This window comes from Homo sapiens, chromosome 17 (genome assembly GCF_000001405.40).
Source record: "Homo sapiens chromosome 17, GRCh38.p14 Primary Assembly".
NCBI classification, from domain to species: domain Eukaryota; kingdom Metazoa; phylum Chordata; class Mammalia; order Primates; family Hominidae; genus Homo; species Homo sapiens.
The window spans coordinates 72,312,800-72,323,683 of NC_000017.11; positions in this window are offsets into that span (position 1 = coordinate 72,312,800).

Consider the following 10,884-nt stretch of genomic DNA (forward strand, 5'->3'; position numbering starts at 1 on the left):
TCTTTGTCATGGGGGTCTTGTCCTGTGCATCGTATGACATTTAGCAGCACCTCTAGCCTCTTCCCACGAGATGTCAGGAGCACCCCTCTCCCAAGTCATGACAAGCAAAACTGTCTCCAGACATGGCCATATGTCCCCAGTTGAGAGCTGCTGATAATAGAATAATATTCAGAACAGTGTGAGGCTTGTAGTAGGGACTGAAGGAATTACAGCTCTTATTACAAAAACATCCAACTTCCTTCTTTTTCTACTCAGTAACAACCACCAATCCAATTCAGGTAAATAAGAATGCACCACTGAGTCCGTGCACACTCCCATTAGGTGGGGCAGCCCACAGGCTGTGTCATGGATTCCAAGGACTGAACGTATGTATGGCCATTGTCCTCCTCTTGCCAATTTCAAGGGTCCTTGGCAGAAGCCTTGGCCTTATCTGTGACTGCTCCCTCTCCAGCAACTCTCTGATCCACCTGTCACCAATCCAATTGTTCATTCCTCCATATACTCTTTTCTCTTCATCCCCACTGCCAATTCCAAGGCAAAGCACCCTTCATCATTCACCCAGAGATCCCAGCAATTTCTAAAGAAAGCTCTGGACCCTAATCTTTCGTCTCTCTCCTTCAATCCTTCCACCTCTTCCTGTTGGGGCTTCACTCCCCGGACACCACTCTCATCTTCCATATACCAAGGTCAAGAACTCTCCTGCCTTTCAAGTGCCTGATCCCCATCCCCTCTCTTGTGGACAGCCTGACTTTCTGCTTTCTGCAGTACGTAGGCACGTGCCTCCTCTCATCCCTCCTCTCTCACTGCATGCTCAGTGCCTTCAGACATGCAGAGTATCTCTCCAACCTCCTCCCATTCCTCCAATCCCAGTGCAAGCTCAGCGTCCCTCCTCCAAAGCCTTCTTTAACTCTCCAAACCCCACTCATTTCACCCTTTGCTCAAATTCTATTGCAATTATGGTCATTCACACACAGCAGAACACTTATTGTTTAAATGCAGTATTGCCTTTCCACCCCCTGGTATCCTTAGATGAATGATGTTTTTATTTCCAGAGTTCTAAATTCAACCTTCCCTACCCCACCTCCTACTAGATACCTGGCTTACTTCCTCCTTCTGTTTTTTGTTTAAATATCACCTTCTTAGCCAATCTTCTTTGACCACGCTATTTAAAACTGCAGCCCCTCCACCATCCCCAAGTTCCTCCATCCCCCTCACCACCTAAGCAAGTCCTTGTTTTCATGGAGCTTACAGGAGCCGACATATTTGCCTGGGCAGAAAATATATTCACTTTACCACTTATTTCATTCACAGACAGTTCAATATCGAATCTGTTCTCAGTATTTTATTATGACTCCTTATCAGTGTCCTTGATCTTGACTTTAATCTCTAAGGACAAGAACCTTCTCTGTTTTGTTTTTCTAAAATGAACTTTGAAGTTTAGCATGATTTTAGATTTATAGAAAAGCTGTGAATTTGGTACAGAGAATTCCCATATATCCAACACCTAGTTCCCCTGTTGTCAATATCTTACATGAATATGGTATATTTGTCATAATTAATGAAACCAACATTGATACATTATTATTAAAGAAAGTTCATACATTATTCAGAGTCCCTTAGTTTTTTTTCTTAATGTCCTTTTTCTATTCCAGGATCCCATCCCACCCAGGATACCACGTTACATTTACCTGTCATGTCTGCTTAGGCTCTTGTTGGCTGTGACAGTTTTCACACTTGTTTTTCATGACCTTCCTTGACAGTTTTGAGGAGTACTGGTCAAGTCTTTTGTACAATGTCCCTCAATTTGGATGTGTCTGATGTCTTTCTGATTAGACAGGCGTAATGAATTTTGGGAGAGAAGATCTCAGAGGTAAAGTGCCACTCTTATCATCTTGTATCAATGGTGCAGATAAAACATGACATCACTGCTGATACTGACCTTGATCACCTGGCTGAACTGGTGTTTCTTGCTTTCTCCACTGAGCATTACTTGATTTCCAGCATTTTCATACTGTACTCTCTGAAAGGATGTTACTAGATCCTGCTTCCTTGTGGGCAGAGTATCTACCTAAATTATTTTGAATTCTTCTGCATGGGAGATTTGTCTACTAGCTCTCATTTATTTATTGATCCAATCATTTCTTTATAGCAGTATGGACTCATGGGTATTTGTTTTATACTTTGGGTTATAATCTAGTTAGCTTTATTTTCTTATTCAAATTGTTCCAGCTTTGGCCATTGGGAGTTCTTTCCGTTGGTGCCAGTGTTCCTTTGACCCATCCCCATCATTGTGTCTGTTAGTTTTTGTAATTTTGTTTGCTTGTATTTTGAGCATTTCCTTACGTTCTGGCTCTACTGATGTTCCAGGCTTATCTTGGATATGTCCTGCCCTACCTCTAGAATCAGCTATTTCTCCAAGGAGCTCTAGTTCTTCTTACTGCAGAATAGTACTAGAAAACAAGATCTGGGCTCTCAGTGTGCTCATTGTGACTAGGGTGTGGTTAATTCTAAGCCCTTCCAGCTGACAAAGCAAGGAAAGGTATGTGCATATACTAGTCCATGTCTCTCCACACACATGTATTTACAAATGTTTCTATATGTAATCATCTGTATCTCTATTAAGCTAAACATAAACTTATACTGATATTTTTCCAACTCTAATCCATTACCACATAGATCATCCTAGACTCCTCCCATTGCTGAGCTTTAAAGTCCCACTCCCACAGTGAAAAACAAGCTTCCCACCATTCACCATCCATTTACAGGATTGTTCAATTGCAGTCTATGTGGATAGCAGTATCAGAATTGTTGACCCATACCCCCATGGAAAACAACCTTATCAGCTACAGTAGAGTGCTTGCGGGCATTTCCTTTGCATTTAGTCTTACCCCCCTCATTTCAAAGTTGCTTAGATCAGCACCTTTTCCCACCAACCCCTTCAGTTAGCTTGCTTCATACAACTATAATATATCTAGATTATTTTGTCACATTCTTCATTCCACTCTGTGATCTCCCAATCTCCTAAACAATTTGTTAAATTGCGTGCATTAAGATTCTCAATGTGCCATAAAGTTCTATTGGTTTTGACAAACGCATAGTGTCCTGTATCCACCATTACGGAATCAAACAGAATAATTCCATTGCCCTTAAAAAATCCCCTGCACAACACCTGTTCAACTCCTTCCCTCCAGAACCTCTGGAAACCACTGGGTTTTTTGCTGTCTATATTTTTGCCTTTTCCAGAATATCATATAAATAGAATCACACAGCATGTACTCATTCAGACCAGTTCCTCTCACTTAGCAATATGTATTTAAGATTCATCCACGTTTTTGCATGACTTGATAGCTCATGCCTTTGTGTCACTGAATAGTATTCCATCATATGTATGCATCAAAGTGTCCTGACCCATTTAGCTATTGAAACACATCATTGTTGCTTCTAGTTTTGGATAATTATGAATAAAGCTGCCATAAACACTCATGTGTAGAATTTTCTGTGGACTACAGTGTTCAAATGAGTGAGATAAATATCTGGGAGCATGGTTTCTGGATAGTACAGAAAACTGATTAGCTTTGAAAGACTATTTGTTTTTTAGAAATTTTCAGTACTGAGACACATGCAGGTAAATATTTAATAAATAGTTTTTTTAATTTATTAAGGACCCAACAGTCAGCTGCTTAGAAGCTCAGTTCCTGGGAGAGAAGTTTTTAGCTTTGAGTAAAGGAAGGGAACTTCCTGGCATATGTCATCTCACTGCCAGAAACAGAGTCAGGTTGCCCCACCATTGAACTGTGGATCAGATGGCATGTCTTCTTCTGCACCTACTTGCCTTGCAGTTCAGCTATGCCTTGTGGATTCTCAGATAATACATGTTAGAGGAATAATAATGACGATTACCACTAAGTTGTCACTTGATGTTGAATGTGTGGCCCAAGTGAAAACTACATTTTCTTCATTTGATCTATTTTCTTGTATTCCCACTTTTAGCCATTTTCCCAAATCCAAACAATCTGGCTGCCACACTCAGAGGGGGAAGAAGTCAACTTTTCTGGGAAAAAAAAGACATTTAGAGAGCCTGGGCCCATGTAGAGAATGTCAGACTTCTCCAGAAGGACATGGCCCTGCTCCTGTCCATGGGAGAACAAAGGATCCAGTATGTAATGGACCAAAAAGGATGCAGGCTGTGTCTATATTCCCTTGCTGACCTCTTCCAATTGAGGCCAAAACAGTGGGCTTTAGACTTGAACATCCATTAGAGTCACCTAAAGGGCTTGTTAAAACCCGGACTCTTGGGACCCGTCCCCGAGATGTCTTATTCACCCAAGAGTTTGCATTTACAACAAGTTCCCCAGTGATGCAAATCCCACTGGTCCTGCCCCATTCTTGGAGCTCCACCTGCCTAGAGAACTAACTATCCTTCATACATCCAAACCCATGGCCATCGCTAGATCTCCCCTCTACTCCTCATGTAAGAGACGAAGCTGAATGGAAGAGCTTGGGAAGGTGGATCTGAGATTTGGGGAAGAAGGGCCAAGGGGTCTAGGCACTGACTCTGGAAACGCAAGTTGTTCGCCACTCTGGAGATGCTCACTAGTGTGGAAATGCAGGCTTTTGGAGACGGAATGGGCTGTAGTGGCCAAATTCCCTTTACCATAAAAAGAAAGAACATAAACCCAGAGGGTGGAAGCCATGCTCTCAAGGCCGCACAGCAAGCCTGGGCAGAGCCATAGTGACCTAGACCTTTTGACTCTTCCCATAATAGTAAAGCTACCCTTCCTTGTTCAAGGCAGCACAAGTACCTTCTGACTCAGAGTGAGGAGGGCAGGATCAAGCCCATTCCTGGAACGACAATATTTGAATTATCATCTCAAGGGGAAATGAACAAAGAATAGCAGTTCCCTCAATCCACTCCCTGCTAAACACACACACACACACACACACACACACACACACACACGGGTTCACAAAGGCCAGCTCTCCAAAGAGTCAGGGAGTAGGAAATGGGCAAGTGGGAAGATGAAAGCTCATTGTTTTTGCAGCAACACTAGTCAGAGTAATAATTCAATTTTGACCACACAGAATAAACAGTTCCAAGCATCTAGAAGATGAGACTGCTGAAATTCTCAGCTGAAAACCCAAGGGGACAGAAAAACCAGAGCTGTACTTTCAGTTCCTCCCCCAAAATAAAAGGACTCCAGCCAGCCACATCTCGCCCTTAGAACCCTGGAAACAGGTGAGCGATTCATGACATTTGTTTAAGATGAATCAATTCCCAGCACCATGTAGTGAGCCTAGGTCTCAGAATGACCCAAAAGGAGGGGCGCAAGACAAGCACAGGAAGGGGGATGGGAGAGAAGAGTCTTTGTCTGCTTTTCCTGATATTTTAAATATTATTAGATAATTTCTTTCAAATTTCTAATAAGCAGGTTGAAGTTTAAATTACAAGATCTCTAACAGAGTCAGGATCCAAATAGCACAGGAGCCGGCAGACAACAATTGCTGGGGCCGGATGGGTTTCAGGTTTGCTCTTTGTGAAGACAAAGCTCCTATTGAGTGGTGGAGAGGAGAGCTGGGGAAAAGAGAGAGGGCTGTGGAGGGTTTTCATTACCCCGATCATCATCCCCACCGCGAGGGGAGGATGTAGAAGGAAGAAAGAAAATCTGGACCTGGCCAATGCACTGCTGAAAATGACAGCTTGGAATGAATCACACACCTGATATCTGTGGCTCCTCCAGAGCAGAGTGTGGACATGAGACAAAGAGGAGGAAAGAAGGAAGGAAGCTGAAGCTCTAGTCCTGCACGCTCATGCATCCAGCAAAAATAAAAAAGCAAAAACATCAGAGCAGAGGATGGGTTCTTGGTAGGTGGTCCAGGGCTAGAAAGGTGATCTAATAGTTTTCTGTTTTTTCTTGAGATGCCTTGTAAACACTAGATTAGGAACCTCAACACTCAAGGGAACTTTATAGTTGAAAACCAACAGCCACTTCCCAATAGAAGGTGAAGCAGAGATGGCAGAGATCAAGAGATACAATACCTCTCCCTCTATGTGTAGGCTAACAACGGAGATCACGGGTCTCTGGGGCATTGCCACAAACCCAATCTTGTTTGTTCCTCTTCCTCTCCTTCCCTCATTTCTTTTCCCTCTGTCATTATTAATGTCAGAGTCAAGTGCCCTCTTTGAAAAAAGCAAGTCTCCATCTGAATGGAGTTGGGGCCAGGTTCACAGAAGTTATTTCTTATTGGAATGTTCTCCCTGGCAGGTGCTTCTCATCTGCTAACCCCTGTGTCTTCCCTTCTACTGCACTGGCATTAGGAATTAGTATCTCCATTCAGATATGGCCAAATAGCATCTGAGAGGTGAAGCCAGTAGCTCTCAAACTGGGCTGCAAAAAAGTTGTTTTTGTTTTTGGATGCCCATTCTCTACACTCCAGAGATTCTGATATAATTGGTCTATGTTTTTAAAATTCACCCCAAGTGACCCTTACATGTCAGCAGAACTGAGACCCCTTACATTAAGAATTATCCAAGGAGTGGTTCTCAAACACCTGGAAGGCTCATGAAACATAGATTTCTGGACACACCTGCAGAGTGGCTGATTCAGTGAGTCTAAAGGTGGGTCACAGAGTTTACATTTTCAGCAAGCTCTCAGGTGATACTCAGGTGGCTCCCAGGGACCACACTGTTAGAACCACTGACCCCAAAGCATATATGTTGTAATTGGTAAATAAGATGCAATGTGGGCCTCCCTGCCTCGAAGTCTGCACCCCAAGCATGTTTGTATTTCCCTTTTATTTTTATTTATTTATTTAGAGATGGAGTTTCGCTCTTGTTGCCCAAGCTGGAGTGCACTGGCATGATCTCCACTCACTGCAACGTCTGCCTCCTGGATTCAAGCAATTCTCCTGCCTCACCCTCCCGTGTAGGGGATTACAGGCATGGGCCACCGCACCTGGCAAATTTTGTTTGTTTGTTTGTTTTTGGTTTTTTGTTTTTGTATTTTTAGTAGAAATGGGGTTTCACCATGTTAGCCAAGCTGGTCTCGAACTCCTGAACTCAGGTGATCACCTGCCTCGGCCTCCCAAAGTGTTGAGATTACAGGTGTAAGCCACCACATCTGGCCTATTTTTGTTTATTTTTTGAGACAAAGTTTCACTCCTGTTGTCCAGGCTGGAGTGCAATGGCACAATCCCGGCTCACTGCAACCTCTGCCTCCTGGGTTCAAGTGATTCTCCTGCCTCAGCCTCCCGAGTAGCTGGGATTACAGGCATCTGCCACCATGCCCTACTAACTTTTTATACTTTTAGTAGAGACGGGATTTCACCATGTTGGCCAGGCCGGTCTCAAACTCCTGACTTTCAGGTGATACACTAGCCTCGGCCTCCCAAAGTGCTGGGATTACAGGCGGGAGCCACCACACTGGGCCCGTATTTCCCTTTTAAAGTGGTCTATTGGACCAAAAGAATCTCTAGACACAATGACTACTGTGGAGGAGCTGTAGAATCTCTCTCCTGAGAGATGTGTCAGATAGCATGGGAGACAATATTCCAGGGCATTGCGGCTCAACGGGCGCTCTGTGGACCAGGAGTATTGGCATCACCTGGAAACTCATTAGAGGTGGAGTCTCTCAAGCCCCACCCCAGAGCCAGGACTGGAATCTACATTTTTAGAAGGTTTCCAGGGGATTTTATACACATGAAAGTTTAAGCAATGCTGTTCTAGGAGAGCTGAGAAACACCATGATTGGAGGATGGAGAGATTAGGGGTGTGTGCCCAGCACACCTACAGGAGGTAGGGGGCAGGGAGCTGCAGCTCATCTAGGTCCTTCTAAACCCTGGCAAATACTGGCAGCGTCAGGAAGGGTGTTCAAAGAGGGCACTCGACCATGATGATAATGACAAAGAGAAAAGAAATAAGGGAGGAAGAGGGAGAGAAACGAGATCCAGGTGGCAATGTCCCAGGGAGTTCAGGTCTAATGACTGGATTCAATGATGTCTAGAGTGTGTTCAGCCCTGGCACTGCCACTCAGCCCAAAAGCAGAGGAAGGAGGGGAAAGTTGTGGGCTGGCCTCTGAGCAACCCATGTTGCTGTCACTTAAGCCTCACCAGATCCCTATCAGGGATGGCCATGCCTGGTGTATTAGTCTGTTCCCACATTGCTATAAGGAAATACCTGATACTGGGTAATTTATAAAGAGAAGAGGTTTAATTGGCCCACAGTTCGACAGGCAGTGCAGGAAGCATGATGCTGGCATCTGCTTGGCTTCAGGGGTGGCCTCAGGAAACTTATGATTATGGTGGAAAGCAAAGGGGGAGCAAACATTTGATATGGCCAGAGCAGGAGGAAGACAGAGCGAGGAGGGAGGTGCTACACATTTTTAAACAACCAGATCATACAAAAACTCACTCAGTATCACGAGAACAGCACCGCAGGCATGGTGTTAAACCATTCATGAGAACTCCACCCCCACGATCCAATCACCTCCCACCAGGCCCCACCTCCAACAACAGGGATTACAATTTAACATGTGATTGGGGCAGGGACACAGATCCAAACCGTATCACCTGGTTTCCAAGGAGAAGTCAAGATAAGGAAGATCAGAGGACCTGTGCAGGTCTCACAGTTACTCAAAAAAACAAAAACAAAAAAACCCAGGGGATTTCTTATCCAGGTCTGGGAAGCCAAAGCTCACATTCTCCTCACCACAAAATGTGAGGGATAGGTTCATGGGAGATGATTACAGGAGCACCGTAATTTGGGAGTTTCAGAGGATTCCCAAATTCTGTCTTGTCTTTTGCCCAACAGAGTAACCAAGCCACTCTGAATGGATGTAGGAGACAGAGCTTTGGGATTACACACAGGGGCTCTGGACTCTAGTCGCCTGAATTGAAGCCCTGTCTCAACTCTTTGCTAGCTTCAGGCTCCCGTCTATAGATTCTCTTTGTCTCCGCTTCCTTGCCTGCAGAAGATGGAGAAGAAACTGATATCCACCTCACTGAAATTTTCCAAGAATTAAATCAGATAAAACATTCAAAGTTCTAAGCCCCGTGCCTGGTAGTCTCTTTGGAAGAAGTACCAGTCCCTAGTCTTGGTCCGGTCAAATAATCTCTCTAATTGCTGCTCTGGAAAGGAGCATTTTAATTCCACAGTGGGACAATGTGGAGAAGTGGAATGCTATGGGAAATGTGGGTACAAAATGGGAGGCGAAGGGCGGATGAAGCCCAGTTATTTATGTGATTGCAGGATGTTTGCAAAGACACACTCAAAATGCACACAAGTTGGCGTTTCCCCACAAGTGATGGCAGTGAGCCTGGGAAGGGTAATGTCGACATCAGAACCATCTGGCTGTGCCTGCAAATTCAGAAGCCAATCACCATTCCCACCCTCTGAACTCTCACCACCCCAGTCCTACATTTTTATACCAGAGACCCTGAGCCCCCTGGAAGGGGAAATAGTCTCTGTCCCATTTGCTGCCCATAAATAATACCCTGCAAGAGTGCTCACTTTAGTACCTTATCTTGCTTTGCAGTTACCTTAAGTGCAAAAGACAGGCTTGGAGAAGAGAAGCACGAGCTGAAAACCTGCAAACTTCTGTGCTCCCCTGGGCTCAAAGGTCTACAGAAGGAAGATTTGTTTTTAAAATACTTCCCTGTTCAGGAAGGGTAGTAATTGTGATCATCAGAGGCACCTTGGTGTGTCCTAGGCTTTCATTCCTGGGGTTCACAGGAATCCACGTAGAGTTCCCCTTCCTGCTCAACTGCTGCCCTCAAGAGCCAGCTAGCCTTGCTCAGGTCATTGCAAAACCTGATAAACTAGGTGCCATTATTATTACTATTTACAGGTGAGAAAACTGAGTCTTAAAGAGTTTCACCTATGTGCTCAAGGTGGTACCTATAGTAAGTGATTGAGGACCAGGAAGCATGGTCTTCCAGAGCCTGGGTTTTAGCTGCCAGGCCAACCTTCATCCATGGTGGTGCAGGGGGACTATCATTGAGGTGGGGACTCACCAGACCTGTGTGGACATCTTGGTTTTGATGTTCACCTTTCTTCTGGTACCACTGTCCCCATTTTTCTCTGGAAGACCCAGTATCAGTCTTGCCCCGGAGGGCACCTGACTCATGCCTGGCCAGTCAGCACATCCCTCAGGCTGTAGGGATTGGTTCATGAATGGGCACATGGCTAGAGAGGTGGCTCATTCTGCTGGACATGGGGCTGTGAGCCCAGGAGCCCGGAGGGAGAACCTGCTTGAGAATTAAACCAATGCTGAGAAGAGCAAAACCCAGAGATGTTGTGTCAGGTAGGAAGGCCATGCTAAGCTGAGGTAACAAATAAACACAATTATTGTTGTTATTTATTATTGTGTAGCTTAACATAATAAAGGTTTATTTCCCCCTCACATAAAGTCCAATGTGGGTCAGATGATTTTCCAGGGCAACTGTCTTCTTCTAGTCCATAACTTGGGGGTTCAGGTGCTCTCCATCCTGTAATGGGGCCATCTCAACATGTGGCTTTCAGAGTTCCTGAAGTAGGAAATAGAGACATAATACACTCATTTTATTGGTCAGAAGTTGTCATGTGACTCACCTAAACTCAAAGGGGCAGGGAAATATGGCTGTCCAATGTGGCGCAGAAGGTAAGAACTACTCAAGAATGAACCCCGAAAGTCTCCACCACAGATGGAGGGAAATAAAGTAGTTTAAATGATTCAACATGATTTAGATCTCTGGATCAAGCTGTGCCTGAAGGAGTTGCAGTAGTTCTTAAATGAGCCAATAGATTTCTTTTTTAAAAGTCTAGTTTAAGTTTAGTTTTCTTCTCACTTGCAATTGAACAAATCCCACTTGACAGGAACATACCTAGACCTCACTCCCTGGCTGGCTCCA